The following is a 26,271-nucleotide window of genomic DNA, read 5'->3' as shown; positions in this document are numbered from 1 at the left end:
GGGCAGAACTAATCTTTCTGGAGAGAGAGTGCCTGGCCTTCACTAATGAAAAATGCCAGTCTCTGTCTCACGGCCCAGCACGAAAGCTAGTGGGACAAGGGACATGAAGAGTGATAGCCAACTCTTTCATCAGAGAGAAATGTGTTGGAACCATGAGTTCTCTCCTTTTGCTCTGGGCACAGCCAGTAGTGCGAAGCCCCCCAGATCCTTCTCTGATATTGCCTGAAATGTCACACATATATGTATACATGTGTGTGTTGCATATATACATACACTCCTGGGGAGGCTATCGGTGATGAATGAGTTAAAGATGCTTGCTTTCCTAACCCCTCACGAGAAAACAAACATAAATGTTGATGAGGAGAGGAAGGGGATGGGTAAGGAGGCCAAGAGTAGATGGAGATTGAAGAAGGCGGCTGGAGGAGGGCTAACCATGAAGCCTGAGGTCTTACTGAAGAGGACAGTAGCACAGAGGGACACAGGCAGGGAGAAGGCAAAAGACGGGAGGGAGGCATAGCCAGAGCCGGAAGTAGGTAAGAAAGAGCCACGGCCGGCCGGGTGCGGTGGCTCACGCCTGTAATCCCAGCACCTTGGGAGGCCAAGGTAGGAGGATCACTTGAGGTCAGGGGTTTGAGAGCAGCCTGGCCAACATGGCAAAACCCCATCTCTACTAAAAATACAAAAATTAGCCAGGCGTGGTGGCGGGTACCTGTAATCCCAGCTACTCGGGGGGAGCTGAGGCAGGAAAATTGCTTGCAACCCTGGAGGAGGAGGTTGCAGTGAGCCAAGATAGCACCACTGCACTCCAGCCTGGGCAACAAAGCAAGACTCTACCTAAAAAATAAAAATAAAAACAAAGAAAAAATTTAAAAAAGAGCCATGGAGGCCTTGCTGTGGATACCAACAGTTGTGCCCAGAGAGAGTTTGACCAGGCTACTAGGAACAAGGGCTCCACACTCCCCAGACCAGGGCTGCCTTGTATGTTTCTGAAGTTCTGGTCTTCCCATAAGCAGAAACTGTTCCAAACCCTTCCTCCACCAGCAGAAGTTGGAGCTGGGCTATTGACTGGGGTCAGGTGAAAGAATTTAAACCAAATGTGTTACTACCATAAAAACAGAAACACTGATTCTGCGAAGTAAAACTTGTTGCTTCCACAAAGTCCCTGAAGATCAATATAGACATTCAGGGATAGGCCGGGCATGGTGGCTCACGTCTGTAATCCCAGCACTTTGGGAGGCCAAGGCAGGCAGATCACCTGAGGTCAGGAGTTTGAGACCAGCCTGGCCAACACAGTGAAACCACATCTCTACTAAAAATACAAAAATTAGCCTGGTGGTGCACGCCTACTTGGGAGGCTGGGGCAGGAGAATCACTTGAACCTGGGAGGCAGAGGATGCAGTAAGCCAAGATAGTGCCACTGCACTCCAGCCTGGGCAACAGAGCGAGACTCTGTCCCAAAAAAAAAAGAAAAAAAAAAGAAATTCAGGGACAACAGGAAACGGGCAACAAGATCAAGAAGAGGGAGTTAGCAGCAAAGTGTGACAGAGGTTAGAGAACACTGTGCACCCACAAAGCCTTGGAAAAATAGTCCTTTAAAAGGAATGTCAGAATTAAAGGATACAAATCTGCAAGATTAATATCACACATGTAAGTCATTTTGAAGTATCTTGAAAGAAAAGCTATACAATAATAACTCCAATAATTTATAGGCAAGGCAGAAAGGCAAGACTTAGTTTTTCTGTGCCAAAAATGTAGACCAGACAGTGTGATCTATTTTGTCAGTAAATAGGTTGGCAAAAGAGGATAGGAAATTAAAGGAGCTGTTTGAAGGCATTTTTCTTTATGTCTTTGTTGATTTCCCTACTGGAAGGGGTTTTCATAAATTTACTTGTGACCTTCCTTGGCTCCTCTGGCTCTATTCTGTACCTAAGTTTTCAGGTTCTCATTTTGAATTTTCTATGACAGAATTTCACGAACAGAACCATAGCAGTGGAGGGAACTATGGCTTGTGAATGTGTCCCTTTCATCAGAGTCCACTAGAGTGTGATAACTAGACCTGCCACTCCCTGAGGGCAAGGGCTAGGTCTCGCATCTCTTCATCTTCAGCACCCACCTCGCACAGCACTTTGTACATTGCGTGCACTCAGTATTTGTTTGTTAACTTTAACTGAATATAAACAATTAGGTCCTATGGAAGAAAGTTATGACCACTACTGACCATTTTGAAAATACCAGAACATTTTATAAAATCAGCTAAAAATTTAAGAGAATGAGTGAACAACTACTAAGGCTGCTTAAAATATTACCAAAAATGTCCCCAGAAATCAAAAAATGAGAAGAGGATGTAGCAAGGGGGGAAATGTGATAGTGATTTTGGAAAAGGAAAGACCCTGAAGTTACCGACCAAGTAATAACATTAAACCAGCAGGAAAAAAAAATCTGTTCTTGACTTAGATGATAATGAAGTCCCACTATATGTAGAAAGCTCTTATGAAGGAAAGCGTTGTCAATTGATTGCTCTTCTGGCAAATCTGTGAACTCTGAAGGTACATTTGCAGTGATGCAAAACACTTCTCATGAAATGTTGCTAAAATGATTTCCGTTACTTTAGTAAGAAGCTGTTCAACATTCTTTAAGTATTACTTGTATGATTACACAGGGAAATTTCAACAGAGAAGAATTATGTAGTATAGAGTACAATTGTAAGTCTCAAATTATTGACTTGGCAAAAATAATCTATAATTAAGATTCCTTAGCGAATTACTATTTTTGTGCAGTTTTATAAAGGAAAATGACTAAGCTAGGGACCCCTCCCCTGCCCCGACAAATTACCACTTCTTCATCCTGGTTATAGCTCTTATCACATTGTATTATCATTGCACATTTACCTCTATCTTCAACCACATGTGAAATCCTAGAATTCATAGGTAATGTCTTACTCAGTCTTGTATCTCTGGTGCCTTGCACAGTGCTCAGTGCATAGGACACAGTAGGTGTGCAATAAATCTTATTTGCATATATGAATAAAGGCAAAAACATGACAAGTAAGGTCCAGAGATTCATTTTAGGAGGAGGAAGATAAGTCAAGTTTCTGTAGGGCTCTTTTTAATTTTTAAAATGTTAACAAAGTCCTATAGTATCTGTTAGTATGGCAAGTTTGTTCATTATACATTATTGTTTATGATTTTATTTTCCAATGAAAAGAGTGAGTTACAGGCTCAAGATCAGTTATGGTCATTGATTCCTTCCTAGTTCAGAATACTGAAATTTACCCAGACCACAGCCAAGTCATTTATTTACCGTTAAAATATTTACGTACACCCTCACTGCTAAATTTTTACATCTAGAAAGTAGATTTGCATAAACTGAAAATTAACAGCATAATATGACTTCAGTAAATCCTGCCAAAATTCCAGCAACACACTTGGTGCAGAGCTGATGTAAAAGTGGAAAAATGACATTACCTGCACCTTTATTTAAGGATTACATACATCAATGGTTTTATATCTGAAGGACGTGGCAGCAATAACCACAAATACTATAGGCAAGAGAGAAGAAAGTTGTTCATGCCCCACAGCTGAGAAGGCACCACTAGAGAAAAGATAAGATTTTAAAGAAGAAATTAAAGTGTTCAGAATGGACATATTTGCTTAATCTATTTATTAGTGAGACAGACTCCCATTTCATTATGGAATAACTGTCTAAGGAAACTCTTCAAAGACTCACCATCTATGACAGTCATCAGATGGGAAAATAAAAACATCTTTCTACCCTTAAGTCTGTAGGAAAAGAACAATTGTGTTCTTGATCAGGCAGGGTCTTGATGGTGCCTGATATACAGTAAGCACTCACTAAATCTTTGTCAAATGAGTAAATGAACTCCACAAGAACAATAGAAACTCACTGTTCCCATTTATGATATAAGTAAATGATGAGGTTAGTATGTACTCTTAGTATAAGAGTCAAAACTGCTGCTCCAGTACCATTGGGTCAAAAGCTGATGGTGATACGAAGTGCATCTTATGATCAAAGCATTTACAATGAAGATTTCTGTGTAGATTTTGTGTAGAATGATGAGTATGCATATGGGGAGCCAAGTTATATCTTTTGACACCAGATTATCTCCCCGCTCCAAGGGAACCTGTTTTATAAGCTAAGGGGCTGGTTTCTCCCACTTGGTATCTGGAAATGTGTTAATTTGTCATCAGTTTCTAGGGCTGATGGAGGACAAAAATCATCCTTCCACCCTCTCTAGATTTGGGTGCAAATGTTCCTGAGGCTGCCTTTTCTTATAATCAATTAACTGGGATAACATTGTGTACATAAGCTCCACGGTGGGTTGGCATTGCCTATGCAGGTGATATGCTTTGGATATTTGTCCCCACCCAAATCTCATGTTGAACTGTAATTCCCAGTGTTGGAGGTGGGGCCTGGTGGGAGGTGTTTTGATCATGGGGGTGGATCCCCCATGAATGGCTTGGGACATTCCCTTAGTGATAAGTGAGCTCTCACTCTGAGTTCACAGGAGATCTGATCACTTAAAAGTGGGTGGCACCCCCCTCCCACTCTCTCTCTCTTGCTCCTGCTTTTGCCATGTGATGTGCCTGAACCCTCTTCACCTTCTACCATGATTGTAAGCTTCCTCAGGCCTCCCTAGAAGCTGAGCAGATGTCAGCACCATGCTTCCTGTTCAGACTGCAGAATGGAGAGCCAATTAAACCTCTTTTCTTTATAAATTATCCAGTCTCAGATATTTCTTTATAGCAATGCAAGAACAGCCTAATACAATGGACTCTACATGTTCCCCAGTGCCCAGAAGAAATGTTTTTCTGCTTGTAATCTGTTCTTTTCCTCCGACTGTCAGTAACCATAGGTCAGCAATTTTTTAGCCTCATATGTGCCACAGAAGACAAGAAATTTTCACTGGTACACTTGGTAGATTTCAGGAATAAACAGAAGAAAGAGAATAAGGAAGAAGATTAGGAGGGAGGGGTTTATTTTTTTCATGAGAGCTGTTTTTTAAATAAGATTGCCGCAAAGAGAACTCAAATGGGAGCCACATAAACAGGCAATTTTAACAGCCACATAAGAGGCAACTTACTTTAAGAGGAAGAAATATGAAAACTTGCTTCTAAAATTAAGGGTGGGAGTGCAAAAAACAAAAATAAAATCTCCAAGGAACAGCCAAATGAAAACAACAGAAGCTGAAGAAAGAGAAAGGACCAAGAGGCAACTATGCTGCTTTCAAAACTCCCAGAAACAAAGTTTTAATTCCGTGATTAGTATTAGTCTTTTTAGGGATGGAGTTGGGTTGGGAGGAACAACTTTTTGGTTTAAAAAGGATGGGGATATTACTGGAATTGGCCATTTAAAAGCATTTATTTTTTATTAGGCAGGCATGGTGGTACCCGCCTATAGTCCCAACTACTTGGGAGGCTAAAGTGGGAGGATCACCTGAGCCCAAAAGATAGAGGCTGCAATGAGCTGCAACAATCATGACACTGCACTCCATCATGGGCAACAGAGTGAAACCTTGTCTCAAAAAAAAAAAAAAAAAAAGCATTTGCTTTGTATCTAAAATTAGGTATAATTTATACATTTGAATATACAAATATTTATTGGAAGTTTACTAGGTGCCAGAAGGAAACAAAACAGTGTTTCTGATCGCATGGATTTTACATGATAGTGAGGGAATGCAAAAATAAAATCATTAACAAATAAATATGTCAGGTAGCATTAAATTTTGAGAAGAAAAATAAAGCAGTGAAGGGGAACAGAGCAGCAGGAATGTACCCAGTATTTTAAATTGAATGATCAAGGAAGGGTGCTGGTTATTCTCTGATCGCCATCTCCTCCCTCACCCTTTTCAATTCATTCTCCACTTTGCTTTGCTCTCCAAGATGGCCCTCAATTATTTCTTGGCTTCTACTGTTCATACTCTGGTATAGTCTCTTCCCACACTGAGTCAGAACTGATCTGTGTGACTAATAGAATGTGGCTGAAGTGACAATGTGTGATTTTTCAAGGCTAGGTCATAACAGGCCCTGTAGCTTCCACCTTGGCCTCCTTGAGCATTTGCTCTGGGGGAAACCAGGTGCCATGTTGTGAGGTCACTCAAGTTGCCCTGTGGAGAGGTCGATGTGGGGAGGATCTTAGGTCTCCTGTCAACAACCAGCACCAACTTGCCAGCCATGTAAGCGAGCCACCTTGGAAATGGATCCTCCACCCCAGACAAGCCTTCAAACAACTGACATTTTGACTGTAACCTCAAGTTAGACTGAGGGCCAGAAATGTTAAGATAAGCTGCTCCCAAATTCCTGACCCACAGAAACTATAAGAGAAAAAAAGTATATATTGTATGAAACCGCTGTTTTGGGGATCATTTGTTATATACCAGTAGATAACTTGTATAGTACCCAGTACTTCATTACTCCAACTCCCTCGATCTCTGATTTCCATCTGTGTTAGACCAGCGGGTAGAAAGTGAGGTCAGTGTGTCTATTCCTCAGCATTCTTCTCTGGTCCTGGTTTCCTTCCTCAAGAACCACAACTTCTTCTGGGCAGCCCCACAGGTGTCCAGGACTGCAAATCTCTGCATTCCTCCAACACTAGCCCATTCGAGCCTAGGTGTGGCATCAGATCTTGCTGTTGGTTTCCTGATCCCCACACATACCTCTGTAAATACTCCCTTCATTCTCCTAAAAATGGTGTGCCTTCTATTTCCTAATATACCCAGGCTGATACAAACATCCTCCTGCAGGAGAAGACATTTAGACAGAGACCTGAAGGAAGTGAGAGGAGGCCTCCTAACATCTAGGGAAGAATATTTCAACAAGTGCACAGTACTCTCCCCTGAGACTGCAGAAGTTGGGTGTGTTCAGAAGCATCAAGGAGGGGTCAGCATGGATAGAGCAGAATGCACACATAGGGTATAAGGATGGGGCAGTAGTCGGGGGCTATACTTCATAGAGTTTTGTTGGTCACGGTTGTATTCTGAGTGTGATGTACAGCCACGGGGTGGGAAATGGTCTGAACAAGGGCATGACATGATCTGACTTGCATTGTGAGACCAGAATGACGCTAGCCAAAATAGAAACTAGAACAATGAGGAGGGCCTTTTGGAATTTAGAAAGATGATGTTGGCTTGGCTTAGGATGACAAATAGTAAAGGCAAGGGGGAGAGATTGGATTCAGGCTCTATTTTGAAACTAGGGCTATAAGAATTTGCTGCTGACTTGGATGTGAGGGAAGGAGAGTAAGGGTGAGGAAGACTCCAAAGTGAATGGTGACTGGTGGAGCTATTTACTAGGATGGACTCAAGAGAGTGGAGGGGGCAGTGTGGAGTGAAGAGGGAAGGAAATCAAGAATTTGTTCATCTCAATTTCCAAAGAGGAAAAAGGAAAAGCCTAATCTTCCACTGTTAAAAAGGAAGATGAGAGGTAATTTTTCATTTTACAAAAAAAAAAAAAAAAAAAAAAAAAAAGAAAAAGGACCTGTATTCATAGAGTAACATCCCTATGTCCTGGCCTATTAGAATATCGCCATTAGAAGACTTTTTAAAATCAAGGAGCACATTCTCAATTTTAGTTGGAAGTGCGATCACCTCTTGGTAATTTGACTCTCCAAAGGTCAGACTAAATAAATCCAGGAGCTAAGGCCTTCTGAGGGTCCATGGCCCCTCTCGTCTGTGATAAAACTCAACCCGCCTGTAGGTGGAAGATTCTACACCACTGAGGATTCTAATTATCCTGCCTGTAAAAGATAATCTCACTGGTTAACTTCACATGACTTTCTTTTTTTTAAATTTGAAATGTGACTACCTTCAGCTCCAGGATGTGACAGGAAACAAGACTCAACAGATACTTCCGCTTTTCTTGGGACAGCACCCTTCAGCCCACTTCCGTAGTCAGGGCTACTCTTACCATAAAAGTAGAGCTGTGCCCCCACCCAAACCAAGAGGCTCACTTCTTACACAACGTCGGTTACCTGCTTTTCCTTTGCAGACTTGAAGTGTCAGAGAATCTGCCAATTGGGGTTGACACTCCCGCTTACAGACTTCCCTCTACAGACGCTGCAGAGACCAAGTGGCATTCGTCACCTCTCCTCTGTGCTGAGGGGAGAAGGCGACGCCCTGTGCCTCATGGTGGGGTCAGCTGCATGCTCACTCCCACCCTCCCAGTCTGCAGCCTGCCTGGGGATGCCAGTTCACAGGCCTGTCTTGATGCCAACGGGCGTTTGTTGTTGTTGTTGATTTCATAATGACCTCTGTCTAAAAATTCTGTAGGCTTCCAGGAAGGGACACAGCATACCGTGATAAAATGGATTTTTCCACCCCTCCCCCCCTCTGGTTACCATGGAAACTCTGAATGACTGATTTCCTGGTTGCCATGTAGATGCAGTGGGATCCCAGCCGCTGCACCACACAAAGACGTCAGTAAGAATAGCGAGAAAACAAAACAAAACCAAAAGAATCATGTTTGAAAAGACAAAGGATTGCATCTCAAGCTTTCTTCTCTCACACAAAAGTGGAGGGAAGGAAGCAATTGTAATTAGGAATGGTGCCCTTCCTGGAGTAGGGGTGCATGCACCTGTCCCACATGGGAGGGAAGACTGGAAAAAGGGGAAATCCCTTTTTTGTAGCCAGGGGTGTTGGCATGGTGACGGGCAGGCAGATGCCATTCTCAGGTGACTAGAGCCCTTCAGCACTCAGCCTGCGTTCCACCAAGGAAACCTGAAATATTCAGCTGGGTGGCAGAATTAAGTTAGGTAGAAAACAAAGCAAAAAACAGGTCGCACACACATTTTTTTAGAATGTTCTTCTTTTTATAGTTCTAAATTTTAGAATTAAGATTCCAAATGCTTGAATTTAATATGGGGTTGAGGTTGAATTTTTACTTCTATCCAACAACTTCAGAGAATTAACAACAAATTTAGCTGCTTTCCTGTCTTTTTAAAATTGATTTGTAACAGCCTGATAAAACCACATAAGAAAAATTGATTAATCCAGGTTTATATGGTTTTCATAACCTAGGTATTATCCATCTTTAGTAATATGTATGATGAGAACTTGTGTGTGAAAAAAATTGTATGTAAAAAATATTCTATATTACTCCAAATATATACAAAAACTAAAATGGTTGATAACTCACCTCCTTGATTTTTCATGATTATATCTGAGTCAAGTAGTTTAAAATTAATCTGTTTTTCCTTTTCCAATATCCACCTTTCTGCCTTTTGACAAATGGTTTATACATTTTAAAAACTGAATCTAGTAGGATTCACAGAGTTACTGGTGCTTTACTGTTAATTTTTGGCAGCTGAATCACAAGGTCATTTTGTAATACCTATCTTGTCAAAGGTGGAAGCTGCAATGAACTGGAGTGTCCCATGTTTTATAGATGCTGGAGCAGTGATGTCGAGACAAAACTCTGTGCCCGGGGGACTACAGAGCACAAAGAGGATGGATCCAGCCCTGTAACTACCATTTCTTAATATTATTTCCAGCATATACCACTGACTCATCACTCAGGCCAGCACGTCCCAAACTGGATCAATAGGTGGCACGCAGGGTAAAAAGTGCAGATGGGGAATTCAGAGCTCAAATCATTTTGCAAAATCTTAGGTTCAAGAACATTGACCAGGTTTATTTACCATGGGACTTCTCGGGGCTTTTGATATTCTGACATCTGGGATGACTCTCTGAGAGGGAGTTCTACAGAATAAGAATGGCATTTCCCAAACGTATTTGGCCACTGAGTACTGCCTTCACAGAATCTCTCGTAGTTCTTCAGAGCATACTTTGAGAAATGCTGGGCAAGATTGCCTCTAAGATCTAATTATAGTTTAAAGATCCATGGATATTTATTTATTTATTGAGACAGGTCTCACTGTCACCCAGGTTGGAGTGCAGTGGTATGATCTCAGCTCACTGCAGCCTTGACCTCCTGGGTTCAGTCAATCCTCCCACCTCAGCCTCCTGAGTAACTGGGACCACACAGATGCGCACCACCATGCCTGACTAATTTTGGTATTTTTTTGTAGATATAGGGCTTCGCCGTGTTGCTCGGGTTGGTCTCAAACTCCTGGGCTCAAGCAATCCACCTGCCTTGGTCTCCCAAAGTGCTGGCATGAGCCACTGCACCAGCCTTTATTTATGATTGAAAATTACCTATTTTTAAAAAGTGATTTGGCCCATATGATACACTAATTTAGCCCATAGAGAAACAGATTTTTAAGAGAGCCAAGAGAAAAAAAACAATTCACAATAAATTCAGTGTTTTTTATCTATTTTAAATCAAAGCAAGAGCACCAAGTTGTTTCAATAAAAATTGTGGCAGGAGGGCTGGGCATGGTGGCTAACGCCTGTAATCCCAGCACTTTGGGAGGCCGAGGTGGAAGGATCACGAGGTCAAGAGTTTGAGACCAGCCTGCCCAACATGGTGAAACCCCATCCCTACTAAAAATACAAAAAATTAGCTGGGCCTGGTGGCGTGCGCCTGTAATCCCAGCTACTCAGGAGGCTGAGGCAAGAGAATCACTTGAACCTGGGAGGCAGAGGTTGCAGTGAGCCAAGATCATGCCATTGCACTACAGCCTGGGTGACAGTGTGAGACTCTGCCTCAAAAAAAGAAATTGTGGCAGGAGGTAAAGAGGAACAGATACCAAGGCCATGGTGTGGTGCCTCCAGCTGGGAGTCAGCTGGAAACTATGGTAGGTTCTCCCGGGAAGGAACCACCAATGCTCAGGGGACCTTCTTGGAACTGAGTCCTCTTCCGTGGAGGTTTTGGGGCTTCCATCTGACCATATTAACTCTTTATATAACACTCCTCTCCACCCACACACACACACACAGGGCTGTCAACAACAGCAGAGTCACCAGCAACTTCAGCTCCACTGAAGCCAATGAAGAAAACAATGACTTAGAGAAACTCCTCCTCCTCTTCACTGTGACATCATGAGTCAGAAGGGGACAGTCTCAGACATAAGATCTGCCCCCTACCCAGCCTAGTCCAGCTTACCCTGGGGAGAGAGAGTTTGAACCATATATGAGATGGGAAACCAGACCAGATTGTTTTAATAAACACAAGTGACGACTTATGAGTTATGACAGAGAATCAAATATTGTTAAGGGGACTGGGTCCCTAGAGGGAAAGGAGAGCCAGTGACAGGAACACACAGCTGGTAGCAGCCATTTGCAAGATAAAACTGCTCCATGTTTCTGCCTCAACAAATTGAATGTCTTCAATCAAACTGGTTGAATATCTGGGACAGCCACGAGAACAAAGTAGGAAGGAGCAGAGCGAACTGAGAAGAGAACACACAGCCAGGAGATGCACAGAAAGGAGATACATTTCCTTTGCCTGAGTCACCAGAAGAGTCTTTAGAGCCACGGTGGAAACCAAGGTGGTGACCAAGGGGTGGGGAGGAGAAAGGGGGCCTTGCAGGCTGAGGCCACTGGCTGCTTGGAAGCATGAGTTGGGGCAGAGCATGGCTTATTCTGTGAGCCATGAATAGCTTGGCATAGTGGGACCAAAAGGCCAGGCTGTGTGGGTGGGGTGGACTGAAGAGGTGGGCTGGGGTTAATTGAGGAAATACCTTCCATGGCAATTCAATCAAAATGGAAACATGAGGAACCATTAAAACTGTTAGTCAAGAGGACTGATGTGACTGGGTTTGCATGTTGGAAAGACTGCCCCATAACAGTGTGGGATAGGCATTGAAAGAAAGTAGGGTTGAGGGCAGGAGCAGAGTGGACACACTCAAAATATTTGAGTTTTTTTTTTTTTTAACTTTAAGTTCTGGGATGCGTGTGCAGATCGTGCAGGTTACATAGGTATACATATGCCATGTGGTTTGCTGCACCCACCAACCTGTCATCCAGGTTTTAAGCCCTACATGCATCAAGTGTTTGTCCTAATGCTCTCCCTCCCCTCACCCCCGACAGGCCCCAGTGTGTGATGCTCCCATCCCTGTGTCCATGTGTTCTCATTGTTCTATATGAGGGGTTTCTATAGCAGTTGGCAGTCAGGTGTCTGGGTATGTCTGTGAGGAGGTAAGAGAGAGAGAAGAGCAAGAAAGAGGAGGTCAGCATTAATTCCAAGAGTAAGACAACCAAGTAGATGTTTGTGCCTTCATCCAGCCCTTCAACAAGTGTATATTTGCATTAATATAGAAGCATCATTTCTTCCCTCTCCCCTGAAGACCTTTCCTATGATTTACGGAAAGGAGAGCATTGATTAAAAACACCTGAAATAGTTCAGCTAATTATAACTTAATTGGGTTGTTAGTCTCTTCTGCGGTCTTTAGCTGCAACATCTCAGCCTGCTACCTTAGTGGCAACAAGATTAACAGCAGAGTTCTCCAGAGGGAGAAGAAAATTTTCCTTCAATTCTGGCAAATAGGCCAGGCGTGGTGGCTCACGCCTGTAATCCCAGCACTTCTGGAAACCGAGGCGGGCAGATCACTTGGGGTCAGGAGTTCGGGACCAGCCTAGACAACACGGCAAAACCCTATCTCTACTAAAAATACAAAAATTAGCTGGGTGTGGTGGTGTGTGCCTGTAATCCCAGCTACTGGTGAGGCTGAGGCACGAGAATTGCTTGAATCCAGCAGGTGGAGGTTGCAGTGAGCCGAGATTGTGCCACTGCACTCCAGCCTGGGCAACAGAGTGAGAATCTGTCTCAAAAAAAAAAAAAAAATTCTGGCAAATAACTGTACTCTGAAAAAGGGTCACACACAGGCCATTTGTGGTAACATAGGCCAACCAACCATCTTGTTAAATAAATTTTGAGCCCTGAGTAGGTCTGTGACCACTGGGGTGGGACCTCAGGAAAAGCTACTCTGGCACTGGGACAGTGGGTGTCCCAGCTGCTGAGCACTTCCGTTTGCGTGTGCGGAGCCCTGCGGCTGCTGCAAAAGAAATTCTGCCTGCCAGTCATAGGTTCCATTATTGCTGAGCACAACTTGGACAGCTCTACAGGCTGTAGAAAGAAGAAACAAATGAACTGTTCTGGTGAAGACCTGGGGAAGATGCTTCCTTGTTCTCTCTACAAAATAACATGTATTAAAATTGAATTTTTTAGAAAATGTATTTCAAGACATCAACGCCAGACTAAAAGATTCTAATTGTACCTTCTTGCATGAATCCCTATGTCTAGACTAGATATTATCAGGACAATAGTCTCATATCTGAATAAGCTTTTAGTGTTCTGGCTCTGAATAGGAGGATTTTTGAAGGATCTCAATTTTATTATGATTTAGGTCAGGATAGAGCAAATAAGCATGACATCATGGTAACCAACTAGGAGAGCTAAAAAGGAGGCCCTCTTGACAATAGGAAAATAACATACAGTGACTTAGAAACTTCATTAGACAGAATGTTCAGAGACCAGCCTGTATTCCTTGATGGGATTTTCTGGGTAGCTGTGTGTAAACAGTTAACTTATATTAAACATCTTTCTTAAATATATTAATAATATAATTTTCATGCAGTCTATTGGACACAATTTATTCTTCTTTCTTGATGGAGTCTGCATTGCCTGGAACTGTCATTAAGATCACAGTTGTCATCGTATGGCCCCAAAGAAAAGCATTTCCTTGTATCTATACCTACCTCTATATGCTGGAAGTCATGTCTATTTCACAATAATTTCCTATTTCCTACAAAGTGATTTTTCTCATCTGCCTCCATCCTACCCTTCCCTTTTCATGTGCCTTAATGTTTTGCTTGCTTGTTTTCTTTCCTTTTAATGGTTCTGTTGAAATATTACTGTGGACTTCAAAGCCAGATTACCTGGGTTCAAATCCGGGCTCCAACACTTAATTAGCTGTGTGACTTTTCTATGCTCTGGGATTCTTGTCTGTAAAATGGAGAGAAAAATAGTATCTACCTTAGAGGATTACAGTGAGGATTATATGAATTCATACAGAACAAACAGTGCCAGGCTTTTTGTTTGTTTGTTTGTTTGGTGCAGCCTCTAAACATAGGGTTCCCAAACCTGGTCAAATATTCAGAATCACCTGGGGAGAAATTTTAAAGTCTAGATTCCTGGACTCCCTGCCATAGATTCTAACTCAGTCAGTCTGGAGAGGGGCCTGTTGCAGCTGATTCACAGAGTAACATTTGGGAACCATTACTTAAAATGTGGGGGTCTCCTGTGGTGCTATCCTTGTTTTTCCCTCCTATTCTCTTGCATTTTCCTCCATTTGTAAGTTTGGAGTTTTCTTTGCCTGCCAGTTATGGACCTATGTATAAATAACTACCCATCTTCTTACTTGCTAAACTGACCAATCATAGTATTTTATTGATCTTGGGTTTCATATTATGCATTTGTGGTCACTCCTCCTGGTATGATTGTGACTTCTGCTCTCGGAAAAAAATTACCAGATATGTGAAGACTCCAATTAATCTAGATTCGCTGTGGTAAAAGGTAGTACATTGTTGTAGCATTATACATGAGGGACTGAACCTAGCTTTAGGGCTCAGGATATTGTAAGGTAGGAGAAGCTTCAGGGATTTGCTTATCTAACATAACTAACTGATATAAAAGAAAGAAGGGGGTTGTCTTCTGGCATATAAGAATAGCAGATGTGCTAAAAGGCAGTCATTTACAGAGCTCTGAAAGGTCTGGCTACTGTCCTGGTTGCTTGACCTATGGGCAGATTGACAGAAGTACATTCTTTCTCTCTTTATCCATTCACTGAGTCCAAAACCACCTTACACTCTACCTCAGGAAATATTTGGAGGCAACAGAATGAATGACAATCCAGGCACAAGGCTGAGAAGCAAAATTTAAGATGCAGAGAGTTTGAGATTGGGGCACCAGTGGAAGAGGGAGAACAGAAATGAGGTATTTACAGAGGAGAGAAGTCTGTCAGTAAACTGGGAACTGGGCAACTTTGGGGACTGCATCCAGAGTGGAGAACCAAGACTCTGCCCAATAAAGAGGGAGGAAGACAAATGGGCTCAAGGAGCTACTTTGGATTCTCTGTTGGTGGTAGATTTTGTGTGGAACATTTTATAGATGTCACAGGGGACATGATTGACAGAAAGATGCAACAGACACTGTACAGGAACATAAAGCTTCTTAATGATAAAATAAGGGATGAAGAAAGTTCTGGGAGTAAAGGAGAAGACAAAGTGTCATGCTCCCAGACCGAGGTACAGGCTTCCATATTCCCAGCTCCTACGATGACATCTAGCTACTGATGGAGCTACCCAGGTGGAGCAGTGATTTCACCAGACATGAGAAACTCACCTCTGCCATTCTTACAGGTACTCTTATACCTTCTGGAGTCCTTCACAGTACCCTGGTTGCCAGATGCAAGTAATTGATACAAAACTATAACACATTTCTAATGCTTATTGCAAGACAGTCAGTCAAAGACCAATTCCCCAGGAGCATCCTACAACTCGCTGAAGTTGCAAGACTGTTGGAGATCTACCCCTAGAGTTGTAATAACATGAAGTTAGACATGGTTCTGCATATATTCCAGGACTCCATATTTATATTGAATGACTAAAAGTAAAGCTGTTTAAAAAATTAAAAATGTTGTGGTACATCTTGCTCTTTTTCCATTTAAAAAAATTAAAGCATAATTTGCATATAGCAAAATTTACCCTTTTTAAAGTAGTTATGTGAGTTTGACAAACACACACAATCATGTAACCACCACCACGATCAAGATATAGAACAGCTGCATCACCCCTAAAATTCTCTCATACTCCTTTGCAGTTAACTCCTCCAACCCCTGGCGTCTGACAACCATTGATCTGTTTTTATCTTGTGAAAGGAAAATAAATCTTGGGAACCCAAAATCACTAAGCCAAACAGAAAAGGCAAGCTGGGAACTGTGTAGGGCAAACCCACCTCACATTCTATTCCCAAAAAAGATAGCTACTAAGACAAAAAAGGTAGATACCTCCCTCACAAGGAATTTCCTTGAGGACAAAGGGCAGACAGAACTCGAAGTCATCCCTCTGCTCATTTTGTAAACGCTAATCAGAAACTCAAAAGAATGCAACCATTTGTCTCTTAGCTACTTATGACCTGGAAGCCTCCTCCCTGCTTCAAGTTGACCCACCTTTCCAGACTGAACCAATGTTCATCTTACATGTGTTGATTGATGTCTCATGTCTCCCTAAAATGTATAAAGCCAAGCTATGCCCTGACCACCGTGGACATATGTCATCAGGGCCTTCTCAGGCTGTGTCACAGGTGTGTTCTTAACTTAGGCAAAATAAACTTCCTAAATTGACTAAGACCTGTCTCAGATATTTCGGGCTCACAATCTGTATAGTTTTGCTTTTCCCAGATGTCAAATACATGGAATCATGACAATAGGTAGTCTTATGGGCTTGAGTTATTTGACTTAGCACACTGTAATGGAGATTCATCCATGGGGTGTACATACTATGGGGTCACTTATTGCTGAGTGTCTTGCATTTTTATTTTTTTTGAGACAGGGTCTCACTCTATTGTCCAGGCTGCAGTGCAGTGGTAGCACAATCACAGCTCACTGCAGCCTTGATCTCCCAGGCTCAACCAATCCTCTCACCTTAGCCTCTTGAGTACCTGGGACTAAAGATGTGCACTACCAAGCTGGCTAATTTTTTATATTTTTTGTAGAGATGGAGTCTGTATTAGCTAGAGTTCTCTAGAGGGACATACGATAGATGTATATATAAACGGGAGTTTATTAGGGAGTATTGTGCTTTAACATATGAATGCTGTATCTCAATAAAAAATTTAAAACATTTTTCTTTTTGTCAATATATAATTTGTAGCAAGTGGAACAAGGACTTCCTAAGTAAACAGATCTGGGTAATCATTTGTTATGTCGGATTTGGACACATTTCTTGATCTCCTTGATTTTCAGTTTATCTGTGTAAATGGGATTAATAACCCCCCCTTTTTTTTTTGAGACAGAGTCTCGCTCTGTTGCCCAGGCTGGAGAGCAGTGGTGCAATCTCGGCTCATTGCAACCTTTGCCTCCTGGGTTCAAGCGATTCTCCTGCCTCAGCCTCCTGAGCAGCTGTGATTACAGGTGCACGCCACCACGCCTGGCTAATTTTTGGATTTTTAGTAGAGATGGGGTTTCACCATGCTGGCCAGGCTTGTCTCAAACTCCTGACCTCAGGTGGTCTGCCCACCTCAGCCTCCCAAAGTGCTGGGATTACAGGCATTAATAAACACTTTTCAGAATTGTGTAGATCTCATAAAATAATGAATATTAAGTTCTGCCATATAATATGCATAAGGTACTGTTAACAATTATCCAAAACTTGGAAATTAGCAAGTCTTTTCAGTGTCAGTGGGGCTTGTGTGTAGACCTGAGGGGGTGATTATCTGATTCTCCAGGTGGGTACTTTTGTTTGACTTCCTATTTACTACTGACGAGGATATTTTACAACTCTCAGTATAAAAGTTAACTCATAGGAGCAATGCAAATAATTCTCGTCAAAGAGCAATACAGAGGGATAAAAATATCTTGGTTGGAAATATCACTCCAAGGTTACACTATTATTGCCCTCTGGACATGAACCAATTTTGTATCTAAATTATGAATCTTATTCAAACATTCTTCTTTTTCAGCCTCTATAAATACTTCAGTTTTTCCTATTTCAACTGCCTGCTGGTTCCCTCATTAACAAGTTAAAAAACCTTTGACTTGTGCTCCCTTTATATTTGAATGAGTCATACTTTTTTTTTTTTTTTTGAAACGGAGTCTCACCCTGTCACCCAGGCTGGTATGCAGTGGTGCAATCTCAGCTCACTGCGGCCTCTGCGTCCTGGGTTCAAGAGATTCTGCTGCCTCAGCCTCCCAAGTAGCTGAAACTACAGGCATGCGACCCCACACATGGCTAATATTTTTGTATTTTTAATAGAGACAGTGTTTCACCATGTTGGCAAGACTGGTCTCCAAATCCTGACCTCAGGTGATCCACCCGCCTCAGCCTCCCAAAGTGCTGGGATTACAGGCATGAGCCACCACCCCTGGCCGAGTTATATTTTAATTTTGTATCTGGCAATAATTAACAGAGTGCTTTGCTCATAATAAGTGTTTGATAAACTTTAGCTTTTATTCTCATCCCAACTTTTTTTCTCCCTATATCTAGGTATGGGAAACAATATTAAATGAGGTATGTTTCTTTCATAACTGATTTTCCAGTTTATTTTTATTTCATCAACGTTAAGTTGAGATCAGGCCGGGTGCGGTGGCTTATGCCTATAATCCCAGCACTTTGGGAGGCCAAGGCGGGTGGATCACCTGAGGTCAGGAGTTTGAGACCAGCCTGGCCAACATGGTGAAGCCCCGTCTCTACTAAAAACTACAAAAATTAGCCAGGTGTGGTGGCAGGTGCCTATAATCCTAGCTACTTTGGAGGCTGAGGCAGGAGAATCGCTTGAACCCGGGAGGCAGAGGTTACAATGAGCCGAGATCATGCCACTGCACTCTGGCCTGGGCAACAGAGGAAATCTCTGTCTCAAAAAAAAAAAAAAAAAAAGATGAAGTCACTTAAAATCATAATATTGAAAATATTTTATTGTTTATAAAAACAAACTTTTAGTGATAGGTTAGCATTAAGGTTTTTTTATTGTAATGAGCAGGAATAGAGAATCCTATAAATTTGCCTTATGATTTTTTTTTTCCAGGCACATTTAAGGGTGTGTAGAGGAGAATGGAGTAGGGGAAGGAGAAGTACATTAGACTTAATAGATTTTGGTTAGGTTTTGCAAAACCAGTGGTAAATGGCATACTGGTGCTTGCTGGAGTTGTGGTGAGGGGAGAGGACACTAATGAGGCAGGCAGTATATTAAAAATTAACAATAAAACTTCATGTGACTTTTTATATTTTTAAAAGCATTTTCATATACATTATTTTATTTAACCCTCAAAGCAACATCATAATATATATTCTTATGTTGCATATAGAATACTGGCACAAAGAGTTCAAGGTGACTCAATGAATTAGTGACTTTTATAGAACAGAGACCACTTCCAAATCTAGTGCTTTCCCTGTGATACTGCATGACTACTACCCTAGCTACTGCTATGCATTGGGTGTTTTCATTCCCCCACTAATTCATATGTTGAAGCCTAAACCCCCAGTGTGATGGCATTTGGAGGTGAGGTCTTTGCGAGATAATCAGGTCATGAGGGTGGACGCTTCCTGAATGGGATTCATGCCCTTATAAGAGACAGGAGAGAGATGATCATGATCTCTCCTCTGCCAAATGAAGGTACAATGAGAAGACAGCCTTCCGCAAACTAGGAAGAGAACCCGAACCAAACACTAGATCTGCCAGTGCCATGATACTAGATACCTCAGCCTTCAAAACTGTGAGAAATAAATTTCTATTGTTTAAGTCACCCAGTCTATAGTGTTCTGTATAGCATCCCGAACTAAGACACCTACCAAATCTATTTATAATATATGTTTCCCTGTAAAGCCCTTATCCTGAAACTTCTAAGACTGGACATTTAAAGCTTCCTTAAAGCATCTCCCAGCAAAAGACCTGAAAATTAGTAATAAGACTAATATTTACAATGGAGGAGAAAAAGAAAAATATAGTTTTTGCTAAAGTTTTCTACTTTGTTAAATGTTTACATTTGTTCTCAATTCTAAAAGGAAGACACTTTGGGCTTTGGGAGCCTCAAAAATTTGGGTCTTTTCTTTATTGAGAAGTTGTAGGTCAGGGGAGCAGTGGATGATCCTGTAAGTTTACCTTAAAATGGCTTTCTAGATGCATCTGAGTGTTTGCAGAGACACACAGAACATGGGATTCAGGAGTGGGTTAGACTTTGACGTGCTGGGTCAGCATATCTCAAATCAAAGGTAGGGGGTGGTGTGGGTTTTTGCTGAAGTTGAGAGGTGGGGAGAGGCAACTGGGGAAGACAGTTTGCAAACAGCTATCTTATTTATCTGTATAGCCTTGGACCTCTGAAACATTACAGCTAAAGACAGCTGGGAGAACTGAGGTCTGAACATAAATAGTAATGTTTCTCCTACTCAGGATGAAACAAATGAAGTTAGAATGTAGGTTTAGATGCTAAAAGAGTCAAAAGCCTAGATGCCCAGTCTTTCTCTTCATCTCCTACTTTCTGGCCCTTTATGCCTCTTCTGTGATTCAATTAGTTCACTGCTGCTTCTTGCTTCTTACAGTAATTGTTGACTCTCAGCTTCACTCTTCACCTCAACTGAGCTGGGGGCCATTCATAAACATCAGGTTAACCTAGAAGCTTTCTTTTGTCTCCTCTTTTGCTAGTTCCTCAGAGAGGGCATGAAAGGAGCTGAGCCACTCTCTGGAGCCTAATTCTACATCCTTCACCTTCTATTAAGTTACATTCTGCTACCTTGGTTAAGACTCTGCTGACTTTTAGAGCCCTCGGCTCTTTTAGCACTGAATTTTTGTCCTTATTCATTTATATAGAAGCGGGGTAGACATTTAGGGTAACTTTAAACCAGGTATATAATAAAGTATTCTAACTCAGAGCAGGATATAGCACAAATAAATCGAATGCCCCGAAGGGAATGGAAAAGAAAATCTATTTCCAGAATATTTGCATTCTATTAACAAGCACTTCAGGTCAGGTACTCAACAACTTTGCATGCATTATAGCGCTAGATGTGTTCCCAAATTCACTTAGGTGACATCTCCAGTGCTTTCCTTCTTACTCATGGAAAGGATTCTCCTGGAAAGTAAAAATGGCTTTAGCAATCTCAATATTGAGAGGGCAAGTGCCTATCCTTACCCAGGACCCAGTGGCATTGGTATCCACGCAACACAGGAGCGTAAGACAGAGGCAGCTGTCTTCTGACTTGTCATTCTCTGGAGGGAATAACATTAGCACCTTGCCAGCCTTTCATCTGCCACCTGGACCCAGCACTTGACACTTGTCTCCCAGCTGGTCGACAAGCTCTGTTTTCTGTCACCAAGGAAGGCCTCATTTCCATGTGGCTCTGACCTCGGCAGGGGAGTCCGTGGCAGGCAGAAGCCAGGCAAGTGCAGGGATGGAAGCCATCACAGTGCTGGTATCCAGCCACCACAGCTCGGGAGCCAAGTGCTGAATGCCTTGGGGCGTTCTGGGGGAACTTCAATGTATAGGTAAGGAGGCGTTTGCATCGCACTAGTTAATAGACAGGAATCCTCTGAGACAATTCCAGCTCTTCTCCTGCCAGCCTTTAAAATGCCCTTCTTCCCCCATCTCCAAAAGCTTCAATGTGTTATATATTTCAAAGGCAGTTACTGAATGAAGGCAACATCCCACCAATCATTTTGTCTGCCTTTGTTTTTTTTGGTCTTTTCTAGAAATTGTCCAGAGAGCAGGGGCCATGTTTACTAATTCAGTTGGTATTGCATGATGAGGCTGTCTCAAGGCAGTCTGATGCTATTGTTGAATGGATCTCAAGACACCTACTGTAAGCTATGGAAACACTGTATGACCCCTACCACTCATATGGCCACCAATATCACTGTAAAGGAGAAAGCAAGTGGCAAAGATAGTTGGTGGTTCTTATGTGAAAGTAATTTCATTCATCATTGCAGCAGATGGCACACAGCAATACTGCTGTGATGAACTGGTTATAGTGACAGGTGAGTGATAGTCTATAGAATGTGGACTCCCAGGAGCTTTTCTAAAAATCAGTATTATCATTTCTATGCCCCTCAAGTAATCACATCCTTCTATTATATCTGTTACTCCACAAATTATAATCCCTTTAAGACTTCTTGAGCACTGTTAAAAATTCCTTAGGATGGTCCACATTAAGTTTTATCTGGCATCTCCACCTTTTGAAGAGGCATCTGGACTTCTCCTAAAGAGTAAGTGTAATGGAGCAAATGTTATTATTATATATTTGTATTCACAGTCTTACCCTACTCCAGGTTCTAAGGAGGACTGTTTGCCTTCTCCTGAAAAGATAATGGGTTGCCAAGAACTAGATGAACTAGCAGACACCTAGAGAGGGTAAAGTGATCTACATTAGAAGAAATTCATGAACAAAGAGGGACTGGAAAAAAGTTGAAAAAGGAAAGAGCCCATTAAAGATGAAGATTTTCATAGAATGTTTAGAAGACAGATTTGGGGGTGGTGTGAAAATTGCTATGAAGAGGTACCGGAGGTAGATTTTCCATGAAATTCTCACTGGTACTGACTCCCTCCAAGTCCCTCAGACCTGAATAATGTGTTTACATATTCATTATCTATCTTTCTTCTTTTCAGAGCACCTGCCTCCCCCATCCCCTGCCCCTGACAAATTGTATAAGCTTCAGGCCCCATAAGCTTTAATCTTGACTGGATCTATAGAGAAATGAGTTGTAAGGTTGAGAAAATTTTTCCAATCTCTGAAAGGCAAAATAGATGATTGTGTACCTTCCTTGTTGCGAAGACCTTGTCTAGTAGGCCTAAGAGTCATCTGAATTCAGAAGTGTGTAAAATTCTCTGACTTACTAACAGGTATTTTTTAGACCATTTTTGCCTATTGCTATGCTCTGTGTCTAAAACCCCTTAATTTGTATATTGAAGCCCTCATCTTCAATGTGATGGTAACTGGAGATGGAATCTTTCAGAGGTAATTAAATTTACATGAGGTCATGAGGGTGAGGCCCTTATAATGGAATTAGTGCCCTTATAAGAAGAGACACTAGAGAGCTTGGTTTCCCTGCCTGCCTTGTGAGGACACAGGGAGAAGGCAGCCATCCAAAATCCAGAAAGAGAACCCTCAATGGAAACTGATCATGCTAGCACCTTGATCTTGGACCTCTCAACCTTCAGAACTGTGAGAGAATAAATTTCTGTTGTTTAAACAACCCAGTCTATGATATTTTGTTATGGAAGCCCAGCTAAGACACTGAGAGAGAATAATTTTTGCTCTATAGTGATGCAAATTATTTCTAAAGTAGAAAAGATAACCCCAAAGATAGCAGTTTATTGCCCTGTAATAGTTTTGTATCTAATTAGCAATCATATTTCTCCATTTATTTTTGCTTTCACTGACTATATATATACACACATTAAATTCTCTTATCATCATTTGAAATAGCTTTGCCATCTTTTTCTTTTCTTTTTTTTTTTTCTCCCTGTAACAGGGTCTCACTGTTGGCTAGGCTGGAGTGTCAGTGGCACAATCATGGCTTACTGCAGCCTTGAACTCCTGGGGTCAAGTGATCCTCCCACTACAGCTCCCTGAGTAGCTGAAACCATATGTGTGTGCCACCATGCCCGACTAATTTTTGTATTTTTTGTACAGACAGGGTCTCGCCATGTTGTCCAAGCTGGTCTCGTACTCCTGGGCTCAAGCGATCCTCCCACCTTGGCCTCTTAAAGTGCTTGGATTACAGGTATAAGCTGCCAGCCCAGCCTCCCCATCATTTTAATGAGTTAAAATAAAACTTTGATACATGTTCACTATGTATTTGTATAGGAATTCTCTTTTTAAATTTTGAAAATAATACTTTTGACAGTGAGAAGAGAATCTTTAGGAATTATGCTGCATATTTTATAATGTATTTCACTTTGGTATCACTTTATGAGACTTCATCAAAAATTTTATATTACTTTTTAAATGTTAGACTGCGATTTATTTTTCAAAATAACACTATGCTGGCATTGGTCATGAAGTAATTCAGTTATAGTAGAGCTTCTCTAGTGATATCAAGTGTGTTTTGTTTTGAAGTCCACTTCCTTACAGACCATGAGATGAGAAGGAAAAAGTGCCAGATAATTTCTAACTACTACAAAGAAATGAGCTTTTCCCTTCCTTCTCTCAGAATTGGTTGCTCAAACATATAGCTCTTTCATGACCCCTTTTTATTACCATAGTTCTCCCTATTGCTTGTGGTTTCTGATACCGACAGTCTAGATTTTATGGATCAAGGCTGTCCCCCTTGCTGTCCTTTTCATTTATATCATCCTTTCATGTGAAAAATATGTATTGAGCACAGTACATGTGCCAGACATTGTTCTAAGTACTGGGGACTATGCAGTGATCTATACAGGCAATAATTCCTGTCCCATCCTCCTGCAGATTATATACTACTGGGGGAGACATGTAATAAACAAACAAATACAGTATGTTAGATAATAATTAGATGTTGGCAAAAAATGTTTTTAAAGGGAAGGAGGCTAGAATGTGCTAACACAAAGGAGGAGGAGGTTTATAGTAATATTAAACGCAGGGGCCTCTGGGAATGTGACATTAAAACTGTTGGAGTTAAATAATTTTTGGAGTTGGGGAACTAGCAAAGCAGAGATCTGGAGGAGGAGCATTTCAGTTAGAGAACATGGCAAGTATACAAAGGACTTGAGGCTGGAGCATGCCTGGTGCATTTGTGGGTTAGCAAGGAGGCCATCATGTGGCATGAGCAAAGGAGAGAGAGGCAGGACAGAAGGTTGGAGACAAATAGGGTGGAGAAACAGCTCGTGCTGTCAGGTCTTGTCAGCCATTTTAACTATTTAGCTTTTGAACTGAAATTTTGAGTGAAATGGACAACTTTTGGAGGACTTTAGAGGAGCAACTACATAATCTCATGTTAGAAAAGGTGCACTTTTGCTGCAGTAACGAGAGTTGACTGGAATGGGGACAATGATGAAAGCAAGGAGGCTTATTAAGAAGCTATCTCAGTAATTCAGGTCAAAAACATTGGCAGCTTGGACCACAGTCGAAGTGGTAATGAGAAGTGGTTAGCGGCTGAATACATATTGAAAGTTGAGCCAACAAAGTTTGCTATGGATTCAATGTAGAGTCTGCAAGTGAAAAGAAGACATGAATTGACTCTGCTTTTTGGCTTAATTAGAAGGATATAGAGCATTTTTATTTGCTGAGCCAGGAGACATGCAGGAGAAGCAGATTGAAGGTAAGATCAGGAGCTCCACTCTGGACGTGATAAATATGAACCATCCAGTGGAGATGTCCAATAGGCAATTGGCATTTGAGACTGGAGTCCAGGTGAGGAGTCTTTGCTAGAAATATAATCTTGGGAGTTATGAGGACAAAGATGGTACTAAAAGCCATGAGAGGAGATGAGCTCAATAAGGGGGTATGGATAGAGAAGAGGTCCAAAGACTGAGTTCTGAGGCACTCCAGTATTTTGAAATCAGTAAGATGAAAAAGAACCAGAAAAAAACTACAAAGGAATGGCTAATCGTAGAGAAGGAAACCCAGGAGAGTTAGGAATCCTGGAAGTCAAAAGAATCAAGCACTTCAAGAAGTAGGGAGTGAGCTGGGCATGGTGGCCCACGCCTGTTATCCCAACACTTTGGGAAGCTGAGGTGGGCGGATCACGAGGTCAGGAATTCAAGACCAGCCTGGCCAATATGGTGAAACCCCATCTTTACTAAAAATACAAAAATTAGCCAGGCATGGTGGTGCACGCCTGTTGTCCCAGCTACTAGGGAGGCTGAGGTAGAAGAATCCTTTGAACCCAGGAGGCGGAAGTTGCAGGGAGCTGAGATCGTGCCACTGCATTCCAACCTGGGTGACAGAGTGAGACTCTGTCTCAAAAAAAAAAAAAAAGAAGAAGTAGGGAGTGATCAACTAGGAGCATAGGTCAAATATGATAAACACTGAGAACTGAACATTAGGTTTAGCAGTGGATGTCTCTGGTGGTCTTGATGAGAGCAGAATTGGAGTGGTGGAGGTGAAATCCTGACAGGAGTGAGTTTAATGGAGAATGACAGGGAAGGAATTGGGGACAGTGTAGATTGATACTTCTTTTTAAGGGATTTACTCTAAAAGAGAGCAAGGGAATGGGTCAGTGGAGGGCAATATGGGATCAAGATAGGGTTTTTATTTATAAGGATGGTAGGAAATAGCAGTTATGCAAATGCAGGTCTGTAGTAGGAGATGAGTTGGGTTTAGCCAGGATGGGGGTTGACACGTGAGTACCCTGGAGCAAAAGAAAGACAAGTAAGATGAGGACATAATGATGATGAGCTCTGGAATCTGAGCTAGGTAAGGAGGGAGTAAGTGTTTGGGGGCCTTGTAACAGATAGTGAAAAGGTGGTATGATCAATAGCTTGCAGGTGTGTCCAAGCACTGTTGAATTTAAAGAACTTTTGGGAGTTGGGGAGATAAGCTGGAAAGCCAGCAGATGATGACTGAGAAGGTGCTGCTGTGGATGGTAACAAGTCTAGGCTATACACCTGGGAGTGGACAGCTGAGGCACAGGAGGACCAGGTCACTGGAGGACTGAAAGGCTAGGTGGATAGGAGGATGCAGCTATTTGGCCAGCATGTGCCTTGCTGCCTTACTGAGGTGTTCACAGC

At 41.9% G+C, this 26,271-nt stretch overlaps 1 protein-coding gene across 6 annotated transcripts in view, besides 6 other annotated features; it reads right to left on the bottom strand.

Moving 5' to 3' along the window:
• Window positions 1–26,271, bottom strand: part of GNG2 (G protein subunit gamma 2) — a 143,622-nt gene that overhangs the window by 114,431 nt on the left and 2,920 nt on the right. For 5 of the 6 annotated variants that reach the window (XM_047431486.1, XM_017021377.2, XM_024449633.2 and 2 more), the window contains exon 1: window positions 7,987–8,202. The exons of the other annotated variant lie outside the window; for it this stretch is intronic. The gene's annotated coding sequence lies outside the window, so the exon portion shown is untranslated. Of the gene's footprint in view, window positions 1–7,986; window positions 8,203–26,271 lie in introns of those variants that run through there. 6 annotated transcript variants of the gene reach the window in all.
• Window positions 7,054–7,203: an enhancer, noted in NCBI's record as "active region_8381". NCBI's record gives its function as "activates an Ori minimal core promoter by ATAC-STARR-seq in GM12878 lymphoblastoid cells {active_cell/tissue: GM12878}" and the evidence as "EXISTENCE:reporter gene assay evidence [ECO:0000049][PMID:35858748]".
• Window positions 7,765–7,824: an enhancer, noted in NCBI's record as "active region_8380". NCBI's record gives its function as "activates an Ori minimal core promoter by ATAC-STARR-seq in GM12878 lymphoblastoid cells {active_cell/tissue: GM12878}" and the evidence as "EXISTENCE:reporter gene assay evidence [ECO:0000049][PMID:35858748]".
• Window positions 8,155–8,254: an enhancer, noted in NCBI's record as "active region_8379". NCBI's record gives its function as "activates an Ori minimal core promoter by ATAC-STARR-seq in GM12878 lymphoblastoid cells {active_cell/tissue: GM12878}" and the evidence as "EXISTENCE:reporter gene assay evidence [ECO:0000049][PMID:35858748]".
• Window positions 10,789–10,888: an enhancer, noted in NCBI's record as "active region_8378". NCBI's record gives its function as "activates an Ori minimal core promoter by ATAC-STARR-seq in GM12878 lymphoblastoid cells {active_cell/tissue: GM12878}" and the evidence as "EXISTENCE:reporter gene assay evidence [ECO:0000049][PMID:35858748]".
• Window positions 10,909–10,998: an enhancer, noted in NCBI's record as "active region_8377". NCBI's record gives its function as "activates an Ori minimal core promoter by ATAC-STARR-seq in GM12878 lymphoblastoid cells {active_cell/tissue: GM12878}" and the evidence as "EXISTENCE:reporter gene assay evidence [ECO:0000049][PMID:35858748]".
• Window positions 11,039–11,178: an enhancer, noted in NCBI's record as "active region_8376". NCBI's record gives its function as "activates an Ori minimal core promoter by ATAC-STARR-seq in GM12878 lymphoblastoid cells {active_cell/tissue: GM12878}" and the evidence as "EXISTENCE:reporter gene assay evidence [ECO:0000049][PMID:35858748]".

The sequence above is a fragment of the Homo sapiens genome, chromosome 14 (genome assembly GCF_000001405.40).
Source record: "Homo sapiens chromosome 14, GRCh38.p14 Primary Assembly".
Lineage (NCBI taxonomy): Eukaryota > Metazoa > Chordata > Mammalia > Primates > Hominidae > Homo > Homo sapiens.
Note: the sequence above shows the minus strand (reverse complement) of the source record. Positions and strands in the feature narration are given on the sequence as shown.